Here is a 22,721-nt window from a genome sequence, read left to right on the forward strand (position 1 = left end):
AACCCAAGTTCAAGATCCTTTTCTGTACACTATGCTTCTGAATCTTACAGCGTTGGGGAGGGGGGAAGTTTTCATGTAAAAGAAAAGGACAACAGACATATTTACATTTACTTTGAATAATTGCATGAAAAAAGGAGCTACCAACTGGTAGTATCTCTAGAACAACATTCTACAGCACACAACAGAAAGCTATATAATTTTGCATCATGTTATGTACTGATCACACTAGAGCAACAAATACTAAAATGAAGATTCCCAAACAACTTGGCTTGACAATCACAGCTTCACCACCTCTTAATATTCACAATGTGCTACTGAGGGCTGTTTGTTCTTTATCCAACATAGCCTACTGCAATAAATTCTTGTTTCTCCAAAATACATTTAAGGGATGTGGTGCTGCAAATAATTGAATAGGCAGGTTAGTGGAGACTACTAAATGTAGTAACATCTCATTTATTTCTGTCTCTGTCCAATTTTAAAGCTCTAGAACAGAGTTTGGTAAACTCTTTTGTAAAAGGTCAGATATTAAATACTTTAGGCTATACAGACCATATGGTCTCTGCGGGAACCACTCAATTCTGCCCTTACAGTGTGTGAAAGCAGCAGTAGATGACATATAAACAAATGAGCATGGCTGTGTTACAATAAAACTTTATTTACAAAAAACAGATTTGGCCTACAGGAAGTAGTAGTTTGCCAACCCTTGCTCTAAAACATAACCCTCACCCAGAAGGAAAAAATGCAGTCACGTCTTATTTACTCTCAGGGGAGAACTGACACCCTGAGTGACACCTATTCTCTCATTTTATACATAGGTTTTAGAAACTAGGCTATTTTCTTGCTTACAGCCTATAGCAAAATAGGAGCAGGAATTTTAAAGCAAGGGTACTAGTATAGGCAGTAGACTGAAGTCCAAACCCTTAGAACATCGCCAGAGGGCTGATGCAGTAGAGCAGTCTGGGCCAGTTAGTGCAGGGGCAAACACTCTTCCTAAATCCCTTCATGTCCTCTTAATTATCTCAGTATCACCTCAATCAGTATCACCAAAGGAAGATTCCATTTAATCTCTCTAAAACAGAAGAAACAAAGATACAGGGATCCTTTTGTAAAGACCCATGAAAACTGGCTATATCTAGAAGTTTTGAAACTGACTGAATAAACTTCAGCTATCTAGAAAATATATTTTGTGAAATAATCAGTTCCCCAAATAATAATAAGATGACAAACATTTATAAAGCACTATGAGATATGCATCATTCGAAGCAATTTTGAAATTAATATACGTAAAATGTAAAGCATTTTACGTATATTAATTTACTTAATCTCTACAACAACCCAACCAGATAGGTACTATTGTTATCCCATTTTCCAGATAATTAAATGGAGGTACATGAAGATTAATTAGTTTGTCCAGAGTAACTCAGGTACTAAGTGGCAGAGCTGGGATCTGAACCCAGGCAGTCTGGCTCCAGAGACCACAGAGTTATGGGTTGATGCAAAAGTAATTGCAGTTCTTGCCATTTTCATGACAAAAACCACAATTACTTTTGCACCAACCTTTTGCACCAATAATTGCTACACTATGCTGAGGCATTACTTTATACCTATATGTGGACTGCCTTAGTTCAAAGACTAGAAATATAATACATATACTTAAAATATCTATTAAATAGAATATAATCTTCAGAATCTTAAAACTGAGACATATCAGTGTTTTCAGTGCCTCAGGGTGAAGAATGCAAGTGCCTATTATTATTGTTCAGTTTCACCAAAATAAAAAGATTGCTAGGATGTCAGATTGAGGATATTTTACTCTTTTGGTGTTGTATTTTAAATTGCTTTTGGAATGAGCTAGGGAAATAAACAACAAGTAAATGGAGTTATGGGAAAATTCTTTTTAGGCATTCCTAGTCTAATCAGATAAATATGAGAATGTGACATGAGTTCGTGCTTCTATTTTTTAGGTCAGGATATGAAGATTAAAACAGTTTCTATTTGTTGTCTTTATTTCTTAAGTAGCTTGATTGTAAATTTGGTTTATAGGAGGAAAATAATTTGGTTGTTAAAATAGCTGAGTTTATTATTGGCTTAACACCCAACAAAAATATTTTAACCTACTATATCCAAGATAAAGGACTAAAATTGGTTTGACAGGCTTATGACTTTTATTGAAACTGATGTTTTATTAACAGAAAATTAACAGATTTGGAGAGATTTTTTAAATAGAATAATCTGAAAAAAAATTGTTTACTGAGAGGTAACTGTGTTTTTTTTTATTTGTGATATAAATACTTTTGTTGATCCCTAGAAGTTCAGAGTGGAGAAAAATCTTCTAGCTTCTGAAAAACAGAAACTATAAACCAAGCTTATGTTAGATGCACCATTTGCTCAACTCCATGCAAGAAAAATTTCTCCAAAACCTACCTGTACACTTACTTTATAGCAGTTTTCCCCAATAAGAAGTTAGCATTTACTGCAAAGTTTATAAAATACCCAAGGAACTATGGAGAATGAATGAATTTTGATTAGCCATTTCATCTTCCTTGACAATTGTTCATTTTCTCCCCACCTTTTTATAAAACTACAAAGCAAGGGATTCAAATACCTGACATAGAAGAGGATGGGTGAGGTAAAGAGAGAAAAATATCCCAGGACTACTTTTTCACTATAAGACATAAGTATTAAATCATAGCAATCTCTATAATCACAATGTTCAGTGATATTTTAATAGCCTTGGAAATTTTTTAACATATGGATCAAGAATTTAAAAGTAAAATCATTTTCCTAATTTCTTCCAGATGGTAAATATTATAATTTTTTTCATTACCTTATTGGTTACAAGGCATAGATTCTACATAGACATACTGAAGAACAGTAAGGAAAGAAAAGAGAAAAGAAAAAAAGGTATGGCAGAAATAGCTTAGTGGATCATTGTTGTGGACTGAATGTTCATATCGTCCCAAAATTCATATGCTGAGATCTAATTCCCAATGTGTTGGTGCTTGGAGATGGTATCTTTGGAAGATAATTAGGTCATGAGAGTGGAGCCATCAGGAATGGGGTTCGTGCCTTTACAAAAAGAAGCCAGAGAGCTAGCTCACCCTCTTTCTGCCATGTGAAGATAATAGGAGAAGTCAGCCACTTGCAACCCAAAAGACAGCCCTCACCAGAACCTGACCAGGCTGGCACACTAATCTCAGAATTCTAGCCTCCAGAACTGTAAAAAAAAAATAAATTTCTGTTGTTTATAAGACACCCAGTTGATGATACTTTGTTACAGCAGCCTGAACTAAGACAATCACCAAACCAACTTTTTATTCTTCCCAGACACAAATAGGACTATAGCCCCAGCTTCCCTTTCACTATATGGGGCCATGTGACCAAGCTCTGGCCAATAGAAGGTGAGCAGACTTCTATGAGTTTTCTCCTTTGCCAAAGCACAGACACCAGGAAGCTGGTCGTGACAACAAGGTGATAAGAGTGGAGTCACAAGAACACTGCTTGAATGAATGAGAAGAATCTGCCCATCAAGAATACTCACTTTAGGCTTTGATTGAGTGAGAAATAAACTTCTCAGTTAAGTCAACAAGATTTCAGATTTTATATGTTATGGCAGTTAACATCACCAAAACTAACATGTAGAATCTAATAAGGATATCTAAAGCTCTGGAAATGTATTTCCTGGAATGGTACAACTTTATTCCTTTCTTGTTGATTTTAGATTTTATAACATAATTGTATATCTCAGATGTTATTACCATATCTTCCATTAAATATCATGTTTGTAGATAATTGTCCTAGCTGCAAAATATATAGATGCTTATAAATTTTGTTTTAGCAATTTTAAGTAGCAATATATATTGTCAGTACATCCTAAACTGAAAGGGCAGAGATCTGGATTCTAGTTCCAGGTACTCTAGGTTCCTGTCACAGTTCTACTGTATATGAAACTTAAACCTGGTAACATCTTGGTTCCACCATTTATTTGTCAAATATGGTAACTGAATTAAATAAGGCTGGAGACTCTAAAAAGTAAAATTTTATAAGAAAATTTTTATGTTTCTTTTCTGGGGGTGGGTGGGGGACAGAGTTTCACTCTGTTGCCTGCCCAGGCTGGAATGCAGTGATATAATCATGACTCAACTGCAGCATGGAACTGACAGGCTTAAGTGATCCTCCCACCTCAGCATCCCAAGTAGCTGGGACCACAGATGTGAGCCACCACACCCAGCCAAGAAAATTAATATATTTCTACCCAGTACTTTTTGCATATACTACAGATTGGTCATTCCTTCATTATTAACATAGAAAATATTTTGAGGAGAAAAGTAGCAACCTCATAATAACCCTTTTTCTTTGAGAATTATCCTAAAAGTTCTGCCAACATGAAATAAATGTCTAGTAGGTTATAAGCTCCTTGAGGAAACCATGTATTGTTCATCTTTGTGTTTCTAGCACCTAACTCCTGATTTTTGCTGAATAAATAAATTCCTATTGAGAAGTTAAAAAAAAACATTATTTCACTATAGTTTTAAATTACTGAAGAAGTGTTCTTATCCAATCACCAAAGGCACAAAAAAGTCAGGTCAATGGCCCTAGATCCAGTTTTCAAATACTACTACAAATGAAATTGTTTCATTCCTAGAAAGTTCTCTCATGAATTTCTGGGTGAGCTGTGTGAGATAAAAGTGGAGATAATCCACTCCATTTTAATACGTTTTACTTATTGTGATTCCTCTATAATTTCTTCTATCTTTTAAAAAGGGTTCAACAGGTGAAATGGGGAACTGCTTTAGCATAACCAATATTGCTGTTAGGAAATCATCAAACTATAACAGCAGTGAGCTGAAACCACTGAAATGTAGGATGCAGCTATGGACATTATTCCAAAAAGCATAATGATTTTCTGAAGCAGAACCACCTAAAAATTTGGGATTCAAAACTGCTAATTGATCTTTCAAATCATTCAGAAGGTCATTTTGACCATTCATTGCATCCCTGAGATGAAAAGACTACTAGGAATAAGCATCACCTCAAAACCTACATAATTATTTCCTTAGCAAAATTTAATAATGAGAGTCAAGACAGGAATTAAAAAAAAAAAAAAAACCCAAGAACATCTGTCAGTCTAAATTTCCTAACCCACTTTTTCCTGTGAGGAAAATATGTCCTCTAAAACTTCGTCATTGGCAGCTCCAAATGTAGGCTGTGAAGGAATGCTTATCTAACTATTGGCTTAGTGCTGTATCTAAGTGGAAAGAAAGCTTAACCAACAGGAACATTCATCCTGTTTGAGGGAAGCAAACATAGCTTAGAAAGTTAGTCAATCCAATCAATAAGAAATATATCTGATACTTTCCATTTTAAAAATTGAAAATTTGCAAAGAATTTTTATTAATATACTGATAATTGTTGCAATATGTAATATTTATACGACTATGGCACATGGAAGTTTACTAAATATGTTTTCACATACAATGCCACATTCGTTTATCACAGTAAACCTATCGGTATTTTTAATACTCAAGTAATAGATGGATCAGCATTGAAGCTCCAATGGGAGCTTCAATGGGAGCTTAAACAAATGTAAGGTCCAAAAGCCTTCATAACATTAGGATCAAACAGTGAAGATTTTCTTTGCTTCAAAAGTTTTGTCCATTACTGGGAATATGTTTTAGAAGTAAAGAGTCCTAACCCTAGCGTGATGAGCTACAGTCATAATAATAGTGTACATGTACAGCACATTACAAATTACACATTACAATGTTCTTTTGACAAGCACTTTCTCATTGTGATGTGGATATTCACCAATCTAGTAAAATACCAGAACATATATCATTATTTTCATTTTAAAGACATAGAGACTGAGGCTTAGAAAACGTTTCATGGCCTGAGCGTGGTCCCGTTGACTCTAAGATTAATTCACCAAAATGTTCTGCTTCTTGAAATCAGATATTAGAGGAACACAGTTATAGTTAAGTTGGAATCACTGATTGTCTTGAAATTAAATGAAAGCTCCTCTTCTACCAGTGTCTAGCTCCACAAAAGGAGGGACTTAAAGAAATGTAGGGCATTTAACTCCTTGGTGGTGTGCTTTTTCTGTGGGAAGAGGGACATTTGTTTCATTCGTTTTGTTCTGCTTTTTTAAAAACATGCTCAAGGTAGACAGCAACTCTTTTGAAAACACAAAGTAAGAATTATTAAATTCTTGGGCAAGCTGAAGAAATCAAATCAGTCCTATATATAACACAGGAAAAACGTTGGAGGGAAGAGCAAATTTTTCCAAAAACAAAATTCACCAAAAAAAAAAAAACCCACTGGAAAATGTAATTCAATCAAAAAATTATATTTTCTTCAATTTGGATTTATGTCTTTGCTTCAGTAGGTAGTGTTAATAGTCTCCAAATGCCAGTGTGTATTCATGAACACTTAGCAAGTTCATGATGTGATACATTCCTTTTTGGATACATCTTTCGTCAAATCCATCTGTCTATGGCAGATATGCATAGTTTTACAGAACCTTATCTGCAAAAGAACTTCCACAGTTAGACAAAAATGGTTTTAGAAAATTGAGAGGAGTGGATAGAAGAAAGATCAACTATTGCTGTTTGGGAGATTTTTTTTGCTTTCCCCACCATGCCTTGCCCCCAGCCCACTGTCCACTGGGCACCTGGCACCTCTAGACTCCATTTCTTAAAGCTCTGTTCTTTCACAAGTAAGAGATATGACTCTGGCATCTCAGGAAGAACTGAAGTGATGGAAGTCCCAGAGGAAAGTACCGATGCAAGACGTAAATACTCCTAGTATACACCCACCAGAATTTCCTTGAGCCTTGGTTTTAAACATCCTCTGAATTATATAGGCAGCTGATTAATGTTTGATAATTAAGCATTTTTATGTGATTCATCTCAATAAGAGCCCAAGCAAGGTAATGTAAACAATGAAGGCATAAAAAGGTGGAAGGAGATGTGAATACTACACCAAGTGGGCCACATGGACCTAAGGAAAAAGAGGAGCTGAGTTGAAGTCAGGAGCTGATTCAGATAAAGCAGCTTCAACTCTACTACTTCTTACTCTTAGATGGGCTCCAGACCACCTTGAGGGATGGGATTATATTTATTTTATAGATGCACTCCTTTCTCCCACTAATACAGTCAGTTAGGAATGTATAGCTAAGAATGAGCCAACCATTACTATTCGTGTCTATGGCTACAGAAACTCAATAAATCAACTCACTATTCTGGGTCAATAAATGAACTCATTATACTGTTTCTTCATGAAGTAAATGTGTTTCTAAAGGAATGTATTAAAATTACATTTTTAAAAATCTATGTATTTTGCATATATTTGATTGATACAGAAAAGGAGTCTACGTTGGCTACTTTTCTTTCTTTCTACAAACTTCATTCATTGGTGTGATCTGAAAGGGGATAATATTTCAGAAAGCAAAAATATTTTTAACAACAAAACTTTGTATTTCCAGTGTGATCTAAACACAAAATTATGCAAAACACAACTAATATTTCTCTCCTACTGGCTAAATCATGCCAGTTGTTTAGGTGCAATCAAAAATAAGCCACTAATGTTATTTTTATAGGAATTGGCAAGTAATTGCCAACTATAGCTATTAAAAGTTTATATTTGCCACAGGAGCCTGTGATTTTAAATACTGTTCAAATGATTTATGCTTGAGAGTTATACATAGCACAAATACATACATTTGTATCTACAGGTCTAAAGAGGAAAAATTAGACAAAAAGCAACTTGAAAAGGAACCCCTTTATTTTTAATGACCTACCTTTGTGCTGTATTGAGAAAAAGTATAAAAATTATTTGGGAGGAAGAAAAATATTTCTAAGCACTAATTTCATAGGCAAAAGCCCTATTATTTTTTATGATAGGCTAGGGGAAATCAATAATGATTTAAAAGCAAACAGTAAACTGCTCACATTTACCAGTCTATACTCAGTATTAATTCTACCCTGCAGTGTATGCTATAGAAGGTAATGAAATGCTGATGTTTTCTGGTTTTCCACTTCAATCTGCTCCAGCTTTATCCTAAACCTTGTCAGCAACAGAAGTTACCCCCCAGCAATCATACAAACCTAATAACGGCTTCCCTGGCTTAATTTGATCTGCTCCAATCACAAATTCCAATCCACATACTTTCTTCTGTTATGGTTGTGTCTGTATGTGTTTAATGTACTTTTTATAAGGCTTTTTTACAACAAGCGCATGGTTTTTCATTCAGCCCTCTACCACATAAACAGAACCACTGAAGAGCATTTTTGTTCATATAAAAATGTTTTAGTTATTCATAGTGTATGTCTTCAATTGGCTGCAGATTACAGTGAACAAAAGTATTGCTGCCATCATTTTACATTTCTCCTGTTACTGTGCCCTATCTGCTGTGTACCCCTGTCCCCAAAGCATTTATTATAATATTTGCTGCTTGCTCTCAGTTTTGGACTGAGATGCTTGGGGGTGGGAAAACTTAAAACTTGCCTGACTCAAGTGCTCTCTAAGCTTTGATCCCAGCATCCTGCTTTAACCTGCTCCTGTTGGACCTCTGCCACTTTACTGACCCCATAAAACAAACAGAGCTAGCAAATGCATCAAACAGCCTCCTTCAAAATGCAGCTTGACTGTGATTCATGGCACAAAGCTGGAATAACCCTGCCAGTTCTTAGAAGCTTTAAGATTCATCGTCTTGAACTTGATACACATAGTATAGCACCTTAAAAACGAATCATCTGCTAGTTCAGTATTTTCTACTTACAATCACTCCCTCCCAGGGCATGTAATTAATTTACTGAGCTTAAAAAAAAAATATCAGGATTACTCACACAGTCTTGAAGATGCAATGTCAGCTATTTAGGACAGAAACATCCAAGGCCGTGTCAGAACTCAATTACGACTACATATGCATTAAGGCAGGAACTGGCAGGCCTCAGGGTACGCCAACTATAGGACTCGTGCTTCTCGTACGCTGGGCTATAATCTATGAAACTGAGCTCCAGAGCCAGCCAATCACTTAGCTCCTCATAACAAGTCTAACTGGCTCTGGAAAGCTGAAAGGGCTGCACTGGAACAACACAGATGAGATATTCTACACATTAATCTACTTATCTGGAATCACTTTGCCTCTAAAGGCCAGAGAAAAATCACAGCTTCCTTGTCGGAGGGGAAAAGGACAGGTGATCTGGGGAAAACGCAGCTACACCTGGAGCAAGGTCTCTTCCCGGCTTGGCAATCTCAGCTGTGCCGGCGCTACGGGACCCGAGCCGTCCCAGAAACCAAAGGGCAGGCACGGCAGCAAACGCCTGAGGTAATTTTCATCTTTCTTTTTATTTTTAGTAGAATAATGCAGACTGAAAGTGATAAGCATAAAGTCGCTGAGGCAACTAGATATGCTTCGATTTTATTTTACATTTTCCTATTCTAATCGTGTGCAGGATCATTTGTTATGAAGTCTGAGGAGGGGGAGAATTAATGTACCTGAAATAAACTTGAAACTAAAACGATCATTTGTGGAGGAAAATACAGGATTTTCCAGAACAGTTTCAGAGCTACCTTTGCAGATGGGTAGGCTTTTCACCCACCCACAGAAAGAAGAGTCAACGGGGCTGAGACAGGACAGGGATGGGTTTCAGGAGCACAATTAAAAGTTTTTCGTATCTTAAAGAAAATATCTATGTTCAGAGAGAAAATTGAGAAGATAAGTTACTGCCCAGTTCCTCTGGTCTTTGACACTTAGACCACATAAGAATGTTCCATGGTAGAAGGGTTGGGACAGAGAATCTTAGGAATCCTAAGAGAGAATCAATACTGCTCCCCTACCCCAGGTTTTTCTTGTTTTCTTTACAATAGTATCCTTATTTCCCATTACATTTTAGTGTTAGTCATACCAATTACTTGTTACACCATACTTCTACATTTGCAGTTATTAAAGGATCTGCAGAAAACATTTTAAAGTCAAAATGATTATAGAGGCAACTAAAATAAGAAAGCAAAAAAATATGTGAAACTGACATACACATAACCAGAACACCACACCCCTTAGATACTTAATGTACTTAACCCAATGACAAATCCTTCCAAATCCTTAGCAAATTGTCTGTTTCTTTAATACATTTTGTAGCAAGTGTAACATTAGCAACGAAGAAAAACTTTGGCAATAAACTTGTACATAACTAAATCAATCCTTATGCTTTCATAGTGACGATAGAATATACATAATATTTTATTTGTTTTGTTGGACTTATAAAATCCTAAGGCAAGAAGCTGAGAAGAAAATTTTGCTTTATTTAGTGGTGACATATAAACAGTAACAGAAGAGACATTTATGCACTTTTTTTGGCTGTAGATAATTGACTGAATTCAACTTGAGATTTGACACCAGAAAGAAAAACGTTGCAATAGACAGAAAACAGAAAAAGTAATCCATTGGCAATTTCCCCCCAGGGTTTGTTCTTTGAATTGTCCAATCTGTGACTAGCCAGGGAAGAATATTTCTGCTCTGTTTAAATAGTTTTTATTTAATTAAACCTTTGTTTATTTGACAGTGCTGCTGCCTTCGGTGACTATATGAGAATGGAAACTTCTAAGGAAGCCAGGTTGTTAGAATTGTTACCCCCTTTACTCAGAGATAACATAGATTATCCAGGCTGAGATGGAAAACAAGCCCTTTATTGAATTTTCAACACAGACTCCCTGCTTCTCATCTCCTTAATAAAATTTCATTAAAATCCCCTTGAACTCCCATGTTCAAATCTCCATTTGTTGACAGACAAAGCCAACAATACTCTAAACTGAGGCCTGCAAGTCATTTCATTTGTATTTTTGTCCAGAAATTTCCCATAGGAAGACTTCACCTCCTACAACTCCGAAGAAAACCCTTACTGTCCAAGACCGTCACCAGCAACCATCCGCAGTCATTCAAGTGGAAGCTTTCACAGCTTTTGTACATTCTCTGTGTCAATATACAACTGAGTTACAGACTGTCCCCTGGCTCCCTGACCCTTACAAACACTAAAAGTTTTGTTTGACTCAACTTCAAGCTGCTCATCTGTTAGTAAGTGATGTTCACTCCAGAACACATTCATGATGAGAACTTTCTAAAAGACCAGCACTGCTCTTCCCCTCCTATAATCATAATAATCATGATAACCTGAAACATGTTACTGGGACTCGACATTTTTCTGGGGATTGAAATCTTTAGTCCTTGGAGCTGTCACATAGCAGGGGCAACCTCACACTGAAACAAAGGAAGTGATGTCCCATTATTATCCACCCTGAGCCACCATAATATGCTGTTTACATTTATTTTCTTCAGCCTGTGCAAAACAAAGCAATGGAAAAGGAAACTAAAAAATATACATACTAGTACCATTATCTTCTTTTGCCTAAAATTACTAATGCACCACGTCAGTCTGCTTCCTTCAGGCATCATTCTCAATTCATCAGGACTTGTATTAGCAGGTTCTGGCTAGAGAGACTATCTCCTGTCATCACGATCAATTAATGTTTTCTGGTGATCACATCAGGCCCTATCTAAGAAGCTCATGGTATACAAGGGTCACCCAAATAGCTGAGTGCAGTCCTTGCTCATATTTCCTTCATCTTAACCCCGCAAACAAGAATTAAGATGATCCCAATAAAAGAAAAATTGCTCAGGAAACTGAACCTTTTTCTGAACCAAGCACTGTCAGCAAATCTCAGGTATTAGAGCAACTATGGTTGATTGAAAAGTGTCTCAAAATCTGGGCCAAGAATGATTGCTAGGTCCATAAGCTAATTTGTCTGGCCTTGCCATTTACGTAAGCCAAAGAAAGTCACTCATGAGTAAACTATAGAAAACGTTCAGACCCATCCTGTTAGTATGTCAAATCAACTAAGACTGGCAGGGTATTAACTCCATTCCAGGTGACATGGATAAAGAGCCCCATTATTTTCACAGTGCCAGCCTCTACCTAAGGAAACCCTAGACCTTGGAACCAGTTTCCTGGTAGGGAACTGCTGACAGTTTCAATGCTGACAGTTGGAGCCAATGCCTCATAGTGTAAACTGAAAGAAAAATAGTTGCTTTTTAAAATGTCAGCAAGAAGGCCTGCCTCATCTTAACAAAGCAAAAAAAAATGCTTTAATTCAAATTAAAAATCATGATACTAGAGATGGGAGTCTGTGGTCACTATAAAGATAAAGTTCATGTTCTTGGTTCAGATAACAAAACACTTTATCTGGATAAATGGACCTCAAAATTTGCTCTTGGCACATGGGGGAAATTTTTTGTTGTATTTTGTTGTTGTTGTTGTTCTTGTTGTTATTGTTTAAATTAATCTTCCTAAGGCCATGAATATGAAATCATATTAATAATGCATGTGACAAAATTCTAAAATATATTACACTTAAAATTAGCATAAACCATCAACTTTTAGTACTCATATATTGCAGTCAAAACTCTTCTAGGTAATGAGACCTGAACAGAAGGATCCATTTATCTGTGGTCTTGCTCTTTGTCTAAGTTTCTCGAAAGCATTAGGACAATGACATATACAAAAACTGGCAATTACATTTAATAAGAAAAATGTGGGGAGTGCATTCTTAATATTTGATGCTAAAACCATATCTTTGCTTTAAACATGTAAAGCAGTATAACATGGTGGTTGGTAGAAACTCTGGAGTCAGGCCACCTGGGTTCACATCCCAGCTCTGACTCTTAATTGTTAGACCCTGAGCAAGCTACTTAACAGCATTATGCCTCAGTTTCCTCCTATATAAAAGGGTGCCACACACAGTAACTACCTCCTAGGCTGGTGTGAAGATTAAATGGGCAAATACATGCTTAGAACTGAGCCTATTATATGGTGACTGCTCATTAAAAGAAAATTGTCGGGAGGGATAGCATTGGGAGATATACCTAATGCTAGATGACGCGTTAGTGGGTGCAGCGCACCAGCATGGCACATGTATACATATGTAACTAACCTGCACAATGTGCACATGTACCCTAAAACTTAAAGTATAATTAAAAAAAAAAAAAAAAGAAAATTGTCAGCTAGAAATGGTGGCTCGCCCCTTTAGTAATCCCAGCCCTTTAGAAGGCCAAGGATCACTTGAATCCAGGAGTTTGAGACCACCCTGAGCAACACAGCAAGACCCCATCTCTGCAAAAAAGAGAAACAAATAAATAAATAGCTGGGCATGGTAGCACACACCTGTAGTCCCAGCTACTTGGGAGGCCAAGGTGGGAGGATCACTTAAGTCCAGGAGTTGGAGGCTGCAGTGAGCTATGGTTGTGCTATTGCACTCCAGCCTCAGTGACAGAGTGAGATCCTGTCTCAAAGAAAAAATTGAAAAAACATAAATAAATAGAAATAAAATTGTTTTTATTAGGATTAAGCTCACTGCAATAAATATACACAATATTGAAAATGAAGGTGAATTCCATGGAATACTATGCAGCCATAAAAAAGGATGAGATCATGTCCTTTGCAGGGAGATGGATGAAGCTGGAAACCATCATTCTCAGCAAACTATCACAAGGACAGAAAACCAAACACCGCATGTTCTCACTCATAGGTGGGAACTGAACAATGAGAACACTTGGACACAGGGCAGGGAACATCACACACGAGGGCCTGTCAGTGGGTAGGGGGCTGAGGGAGGGATAGCATTAGGAGAAATACCTAATATAAATGACGAGTTGATGGGTGCAGCAAACCAACATGGCACATGTATGCCTATGTAACAAATCTGCACATTGTGCACATGTACCCTAGTACTTAAAGTATAAAAAAAAAAGATTAAAAAAAAGAAGAAAAGAAAAAAAAAATGAAGGTGAATTAATGAACTGCCAGATGTGGTGAAATGTGTCTACTAACATCACATATTGCATTTCAACTAATATTTGTAAGTAAGATTTTGCCTTAAGGCCTCTAAGATAACAGCACAGTGAAGTGTGTTGGTCACTATTAATCATCAGTTTTTTGCCTGGTTCTCAATTGACACTTTTAACCCTGCCCTGTATTTTGCTGTGTCATGCAAGGACACTAACCCAGGACATGACACACAAGGGGTAACAGTAGTAGACATGATTCATATGATAGTTGGTACAAAGTTTAGACTAGTTTAAACATTCCTGCATGAGGGAAAAAAAATAATGGAAGTCATTAATCTTCAGTCATGGTAACCTAACCAAAAACGATTTGAAGGAGGAGAAAAAAGAGGGTTACCGATCATGAACAGCTATGCTGATTATCCAAAATACATGAACCATGTCTGGAATTCATGCTGAATTCTCAGCTTAAATATGAGCTATGTTGAAGCGAATTATATTTTCTCCTCCCATTGATGAGAAATTTCTCAGAGCAAGAGAATATCAACTGAGACTTAGACGTGCTCACTAAGAAGCAGCAGAAGAAAGAACAGAGTCTGCTTGGTGAAGGAATAGCCACCCCAGAGAAGGAGTATGGACTTCTATACACAATCATTCATTCATTCATTCATTCATTCATTCATTCATTCATTCACTACTCATGCATGATCTTTGTCCTTATCTTCCTCCACTGTCACATGAATACCCACCCACTGCACCTACCTGCTTCCTATTCCTGAGAACCCAGGCTCACACACAGAGCCATGTTTCTGCAAATGCAGCCCCTCTGACTGCACACCCTTCCCCAGCACCCACCATGAAGACCAAGAAAAATGAATTCCTTCACTAGAAACCCCTTCCTAGCCACCCCTTCTCCATGAAAGGTGGTTACACCCTCCTGAGTAAATTAATGAACCAGTACCACTTACCACATAAATTAGCACTAGAGGACAAACGAACATTGGAAAAATTGAGGGATGTTTTCAGTTTAACAAAAAAAATGCTTTAAAATTGAAACATAGGGTACTTTCTGCAAGATTAAAATTCCAATAAAATCAAATGTGAGGCTTATCGGACCCACAGACAAACTCTTGGCTAAAGTTAGGCATCATCTCTGGTCCTTCTCAACAAATGGATAAAGAAATGCAGGGGATCCCAACATAGTCTCTAGAAATGATCGTATATTTGAAAGTTTGAAAGCTTTGCATGGGGCCTGGCAAGGAGTTGAATGAGCTAAGCTAAGTCTCACTTATTCTAATGATCCTGCTCCTGGCAGAAGAATGCACTGGGGGTAGGGGGATCTCAGACTCAGAGGTGGGTAATTATCTCCCTCTTCCCCCTCTGCTGGTGCAGCTACAGAATCCGACATCAAGATTCCCTCCCAGAGCCACTTGTGCCACTGAGCCTCACCACCTGCAGCACTGCTGCAGTCCAGTCCTGTGACTAAGGGGGCAGTTATTCAGCACTGGACATTCACTGAGAGGAAAATGATGGAAGGGGCTGGAGAATTTCAGGAAAACAATGTATTCTGGAGGACAGCCCTCGGAACTGTGACATAGGTCCAGTTTGTCTTTAGAGCCTTTCCTCCTCACTTCTACCCCCAGAATAGTCTCCCTGGGCTCCCCAGATTCTTCTTTGTGGCCCACAAAGGGGCCTAACCTCCCTCCCATCAACTAAATCTTTTTGTGTGCCATCCCCAGAGTAGCAGATTAAAGCAGTCTGTGAAAATATAAGTAAATGGTCCTGCTATCTTCCAAGTGGCATGTCATTTCAATAGGGGCTTTCTAGAGCTAAAGCTGAGAACCAGAGAAATAACCACCAGTGAACATTTCAGGCCTCATGAAGCATGACAACAAAGGCAGAAGGCAGGCAGGTCTTTCTGGGCCCTAGGGAATCACACCTGCATATCAGCTACCTTCCCCTCTCAGAAATGGGCCAGCCCTATTTGCATAGCCCTGAGCCAAGGAAAAGGTCAAGCTTTCCCTTCTCCATGCAGGGTCACCATCATGATTATACAACCTGTACCACACCTGTAAGTCCCACCTCCATGGCCCCTGTGTCTTCCTCTCTACCTCCAGAGCACAGGCCACCACTAAGCAAGGAAAGAGTTCTCACTTCTTTAACCTTCCCACAATACAGATAAATATCACATATAGTGCCTCAAAAGCAATTTGGCCATGGAGATACATTTGCAATCACCAGCAACTAAAAGAGACATGAGTTGCTCTATATCTAACTTCAGTCCATGGTATTTTGTCTAACTTTTGTCATGAAAATTTACACACAGAAATCAGAGGAGTGGAAAGAAAGCAGATTACACTGAGTCACAGTTGCACTAGGAAATAACACAGTGGCTCTCGAATGTCATGTGCATAAGGATGATGACCCAAGGCACCTGCTAAAATGGTAGATCCCTGGCTCCCACTACAGGATGCTGATCCCATGGATCTAGAGTAGAATCTAGGAATCTGCCTTTTCATTGCCCACACCCACCACCATGCGTCAATGTTTGTAAAGCCAGTGATCTATGGACCACTCCTTAAGAATCATTGAGATAGTGCATGCAGACTACTTAACAGAAAACCTGGTACAAATTTTCAATGCTTGCTAGCTAGCATTATTACCAATCAGAATCAATCCCAACTTCATAGATTCTACTTAGACTTGACCTTTTGCTAAGTGAAAATTGCACATGGGTGCGGAAGTATGGTAGCAAGCCAGGAGTTGTTTTAGTGCAGGAAGAGAAATAAGAAGAGGGATACAGTACGTGTCCTTCTAATGATCCTTTAACCATTAATGAAATCTCTTGAGCCCTAATTATCCCCTATTCCACAGTTTTCAACAGCTCTGAAAAGATTACACAGGGGTATCTGAAATAATTATCTATGGACCAGAAATTCCCAATGTAAAAACACTCAAAATATTGCCATTTTTATTTTTCTGCCTCAGACATGGAAAGCAAAACAGGGCTATTTGTTTTGTTGTGCAAAGCAGGCCCCAAGTGAACAGTGAGTTTCAGAATGGCTGAGTCCACCAACTTTGGCACAGTATCAGAGAAGTGAATCCCAAACCTGACTGGCTGTTGTGCTCCTGTGAGTCTTGGCTATTTCCTTTTGCTGCCAATGTGGGCCCTCTGCAGATGGTTGCAGCTGAGTATGTCTACTTACCTCTTGGACTGACTCCTCACCATAAATGGGATGGCCGTTCAGGAAATCTTCTGTTTGCTTTGCACGCTCCTGAGTATAGGACAAAGCGCTGTTGTTTAAGAACATAAATAACAAAAGCTTTGTTCTTCCAAACCGAGAGGGAAACTGTAGATCTATCCAAAATGACTTGGTCTTAAACTGCCTAAGGATGACAAGAATGAAATATTATTTTAGGCTGCCCATCAGCATCCGTCTCTCAATCTCCTGTCTTGGCTTCAGAAAACAATGACTCAATATGGTCTTTTTCTGACACATTGCAGCCTTAGGAAAATACTGTTCCACATATTTGGAACTAGAGCTTTCCCTGCATTAAAATAAGTGGAAGTTATTCAAAAGCCCACTTAGCTTTCTCTCTTTGAATCTGGGCATAGGAACACAGCTGTTTGTACTCACATAATGAAAGAAAAAAAGGAAACTGTGTATGACAAAAAAAAATCAAAATACATTTTTTACTAGGTGCTTGACATGTATTTTATTGCTTGATTCTCACAACAACCTCTAAGAGTTTGGTATTATCTCCATTTTCACCAAGAGTGAGAAAGGTTAAATAAGTTTCCCTAAGGACATAGAGTTGATAGGTGGGAGAGGAAACAGTTAAATAGCAAAGGAAGTAAAGGTAGCCTGAAATTCTAACTGTTCAGATTTAAATTAACAACTTCCCATATTTCTAGTAATATGACTGTATAGAAATGTGATTGTTGTGTTTCATAACCTGTTTTGTACCATTAAATAATTTTTCACATTAATATATGAAGCTTTACACCATCATTTTATTGACTATGCAGGATTTCACAGTAGGTATTTATCATAATTTACTATACCAGTTCTCTATTGATAAACATTAAAGTTATTTCTCATTTTCCCCATGAATATGCTTTTGCAAACATACTACATAAATGTATTTTTACATTTGTATAGTTGTCTTCTTAGGATAAGTCCTAGACCCAGAATTTCTGGGCAAGAAGATTATACATTTCACATTTCAGTAAGTATCAGCCACCTGCCCTCCAAAAGGTTGTATCAGGTAGTTGTATGAGCACATCCATTTCATCAAACTCACAGGCACACCGAGTTTAACCATCCATTCACATTTCTGCCAAAATGATGTGGGGAAATGATAGCATTGTTATCTTTATAATCACAATGCTAATTGGGGGGTTAGGTGTTAGGCATCTTCTCTTATGTATTGGCCGCTTGCAATTCTTTTTTGTCTTTCTTTTTTTTTGTTTTTGTTTTTGTTTTTGAGGCAGGATCTTGCTCTGTTGTCCAGGCTGGAGTGCAGTGGTGTGAACACGGTTCACTGCAGCCTCAACCTCCCAGTTGCAAGTGATCCTCCCACCTCAACCTCCCAAGCAGCTGGGATCATAGGCACATGCCACTAAGCCTGGCTAATTTTTTTTATTTTTTGTAGAGACAGGGTCTCACTATGTTCCCCAGGCTGATCTCAAACCCCTGGCCTCATGAGACCCTCCCACCTTGGCCTCCCAAAGTATTTAGATTACAGTGTGAGTCATGGGGCACACCAGCCACCTGTAATTCTTTCAGAAGTCAATTAGTCCTATCCTCTTTCTACTTTTCTATCAAAATCTGACTCCAAAATTAATTGCAAGTGCTTTCTCCCACCCCTACCTGTTTTCTCATTGTCTGAGCTCTGCAAAGCTGATGTGCTGGTATATTACAGACTTTGATCTATTGCCAGGAAAACTTTGGCAACATATTGCCAGGGCGATTAGTCAAGTTCCATAACATATGTTCCAAGAAGGAACACTGGTTAAGTCTAAAGAATAGAAATCCATAAATTTCTCCTTGGTCGTCTGCTTCAGAAATAGGTCATCCTCTGACTATCAGCAGTTGTTTAGCCGAAAAGAAACAATGATCCATTCAAACTTAAATCTTGTTCTTCTGCACAGAAAAGTTTGGATAACAGAAAGAAGGCAAGAACAGTTTGGAGGAACATCCCCAGAACCAGTGACTGGAGACACACACATGCACACACACACACACACACACACACACACACAATTTTCCATGCCCCAGACAGAGTCAGACCACAAAGATTGTGCTGTGACTCAGGTTAGAGATGTCTTTGCTCAGAGGAAAATGAGGCCCACAAACATAAAGTAACTTGTCTAAAATCAACCAGCAAACAGCAGTCCACTGACTCCCTGGGCAGAGTCCATTCCACTAAAGGACCCTTGCCAAAGGTGAATCCGAGCACAAGTTGAGTCCCCAGAGTGTAAAACATTGACTCTCTCTCCCAAAAGGCCAGAATTGTGTTAAAAAGGCATTATAACAAGAATACCTTCACCCCAGTCCCAGAACTTGTACAAATGGGGCCTGGGCCACAGGGATGGCCAGCATCCTAGCTGCTAAGGTTGGACATGGATCTGACTGGCTGTGGGCAGAGGGCTTCAGGGACAATGTTAGGCTGCCCTCTTGTTCCTGTACTCAAGAGAGTATGATCAAATCCAAACAGCAACACTGGGCTGGTATCCAGCTCTTATGGTATCTAGCTTTTTCTTTACAATATCACTTGTATAATCAGCTTGTTTTTTTTAATCTTGTCTGTTCAAATTTAGCCAATTCCAGGCTCTGAGCTAAAGAAAACCAAGCCTGGCCAGGTAGTGGTCCTATCCTCCTATAAGGGCTTCTGCCTTAGCCCAGCAGAGACTCAAATGTGACCAAGATCTCTGACAGAAGAACTGTACAAGGGCTACCTATCCCATCTCACCTGCAGAAAAATGCATGGATGAGTGGCCCCACATTCATTCCACCTAGGTGATCAGCCACCCAATGGCATTAGCTCCCTCTCTATAAAATCCTGCATCATGAAACTCTTACCAAACCCAAACAAAGATTCTATTCCACCCAACGCAGATCCTTGATGAAGACTAGAAAAGCGGCTTCCTCCATATTTTATCAATTTGAAAGCATTTTTGTGAACCCTTTAGATATCCACATGGGCCAAACAGAATAAACAGTTCACACTGAGACTTAAAAAACAACTGGATCTGTGTATTTAGGAAACTGGCTTAGAACACAACAGTGGTGATTAGTTTGTGCCAGGAGATGTGCATGCATTATGCCATTTAATCTCACAATGACTTTCCAAGGTGCTTCTTTTTACCCACTCTTTATATATAAGGAAACAGAGGAAACAATAAGGAACAGCTTATTTCTAGACTCAGCTGATTCCTCTACAGAATTTCATGAACTTTCATTGAGATTTCAGCAGTTCTTCCAAAAGACCAAGGGAAAAGTCTGCCTTGAATGTTAAAACTGTCATGAAAGTTGATTCCTGGCTGCTTCACAGACTGACTCCCCTCAGCTTTCTCCTTGGGTTGGGGGCGGTTAAAAAGAAAAAAAAGCAATCTCATGCTGATGGCTCTCTTTGGAAATGGATGTTTTCCACAAGAGAAAATTCTTTCCAAAACTTGGTGCTTATTTTAGGAGAGTTGTGTGGATTCCCAGCCATCTTCACACAGAAAATCTTATACCTCAGAATCAAGAATAAACTCTTCAAGTAAATTTCAGCAACCCGATTGGTCATTAAAGACTCCAAAAAATAAACAACAAAGAGCGAGACAGGGAGAGTTGCACTGCTGGCCCAGACCATTTATAAATACAAGAATTTGAAGCAGAGGTTTGAAAATGCTTATGGTATATTTCTCTCCTCTCCTTCAGTTTTCCTGTTAGCCCTCTTGGCTTCAGAGGTTTTTACTTGCTGATTCTCAAGGTTGGACTACATTTAATTGGTTTTGTTTCTTGAAACATTCACTCAATTTTGATTAGCAAATTTGCTTCTTTTCTTTTTTTCTCCAAATATGATCAAAAAGAAACTAAAACCCAGGCTGGGTGTGGTGGCTCATACCTCTAATCCCAGCACTTAGGGAGATTGAAACAGGATAACTTGAGCCCAGGAGTTTGAGATCAGCCTAGGCAACATAGTGAGACACCATCTCTAGAAAAATAAAAAAATTAGCTGGGTGTGGTGGCCATACCTGTGGTCCCAGCTACTGGAGAGGCTGAGGAGAAAGGATCACTTGAACCCAAAAGGTCGAGGCTGCAGTGAGCCATCCATGATTGTGCCACTGCATCCCAGACTGGGTGACAGAGACCCAGTCTCAAAAAAATAAAAATAAAAAAGAAGAAGAAGGAGAAGAAGGAAGAACCTGGTCCCAAGGATGGAAGAAATTTCCACTTGAAAATATTTAAGATTTATTTATAATGCATCTTATGTAATACTACATTAGAGAAATAACTAATTCCATAGATTGTCCAAAATGAAAACTGACTCAGTGCTAAATATCTATAAGGAACTTGGTAAATAGATGTTAAGTAATTTATATTCATCAGTATGATAATAATAACATGCATTTACAAGGAACTTTGCTATTTTCAAAACACTTTCACACATGTCATTTTAAATAACTCTAAAAATTCCATGGAGGACTAAGCGGGGACTTTGTGAACATACATATGAAGTTTATATCCTGGCTTTGCCACTTAGCTGCATGACTTCAGGCAGCTTACTGAAATAATCTGAGCCTCAGCTTTCTCAGCTGTAAACTGTGAATGACAATTGTTCCTTCCTTGCAGAGTTGATGAGACTTAAAGATAATATGTGCCAAAGACATAGCAAGAACCTGACCCATGGCAGGCATTTGGAAATGGGAATTATTGCTATGATTATAAGGCAGGACTGATATAATTAACTCCTCTAACAGCTGAGGCAACTGAGGCTGAAATAGATTAAATCATTCAACCAGTCACTACAGCCACTATGATACCAGAGCTACAGGTTTTCTTTTTTTTTTTAATTTAATTTTATTATTATTAAACTTTAAGTTTTAGGGTACATGTGCACAATGTGCAGGTTAGTTACATATGTATACATGTGCCATGCTGGTGTGCTGCACCCATTAACTCATCATTTAGCATTAGGTATATCTCCTAATACTATCCCTCCCCGCTTCCCCCACCCCACAACAGTCCCCAGAGTGTGATGTTCCCCTTCCTGTGTCCATGTGTTCTCATTGTTCAATTCCCACCTATGAGTAAGAATATGAGGTGTTTGGTTTTTTGTTCTTGCGATAGTTTACTGAGAATGATGATTTCCAATTTCATCCATGTCCCTACAAAGGACATGAACTCATCATGTTTTATGGCTGCATAGTATTCCATGGTGTATATGTGCCACATTTTCTTAATCCAGTCTATCATTGTTGGACATTTGGGTTGGTTCCAAGTCTTTGCTATTGTGAATAGAGCCGCAATAAACATACGTGTGCATGTGTCTTTATAGCAGCATGATTTATAGTCCTTTGGGTATATACCCAGTAATGGGATGGCTGGGTCAAATGGTATTTCTAGTTCTAGATCCCTGAGGAATCGCCACACTGACTTCCACAATGGTTGAACTGGTTTACAGTCCCACCAACAGTGTAAAAGTGTTCCTATTTCTCCACATCCTCTCCAGCACCTGTTGTTTCCTGACTTTTTAATGATCGCCATTCTAACTGGTGTGAGATGGTATCTCATTGTGGTTTTGATTTGCATTTCTCTGATGGCCAGTGATGGTGAGCATTTTTTCATGTGTTTTTTTGGTGGCATAAATGTCTTCTTTTGAGAAGTGTCTG

The 22,721-nt window shown here is 38.3% G+C and overlaps 1 protein-coding gene and 1 long non-coding RNA gene across 13 annotated transcripts in view; one reads left to right on the plus strand and one right to left on the minus strand.

Moving 5' to 3' along the window:
• The window catches only part of PDE4D (phosphodiesterase 4D), a 1,553,091-nt gene that overhangs the window by 1,510,058 nt on the left and 20,312 nt on the right, over positions 1–22,721 (minus strand). For 7 of the 10 annotated variants that reach the window (NM_001165899.2, NM_001349243.2, NM_001349241.2 and 4 more), the window contains exon 1: positions 8,847–8,970. The exons of 2 other annotated variants lie outside the window; for them this stretch is intronic. The gene's annotated coding sequence lies outside the window, so the exon portion shown is untranslated. Of the gene's footprint in view, positions 1–8,846; positions 8,971–17,043; positions 17,192–22,721 lie in introns of those variants that run through there. One more of the 10 variants, NM_001364599.1, reaches the window with a different exon arrangement.
• The window catches only part of PART1 (prostate androgen-regulated transcript 1), a 59,945-nt gene continuing 45,841 nt past the window's right edge, over positions 8,618–22,721 (plus strand). The window contains exons 1-2 of one of the 3 annotated variants that reach the window (NR_028508.1): positions 8,837–9,328; positions 10,566–12,170. This is a non-coding gene — a long non-coding RNA (prostate androgen-regulated transcript 1). Of the gene's footprint in view, positions 9,329–10,565; positions 12,171–22,721 lie in introns of those variants that run through there. The other 2 variants (NR_024617.1, NR_028509.1) reach the window with 2 other exon arrangements.

Source organism: Homo sapiens, chromosome 5, assembly GCF_000001405.40.
Source record: "Homo sapiens chromosome 5, GRCh38.p14 Primary Assembly".
NCBI classification, from domain to species: Eukaryota; Metazoa; Chordata; class Mammalia; order Primates; family Hominidae; genus Homo; species Homo sapiens.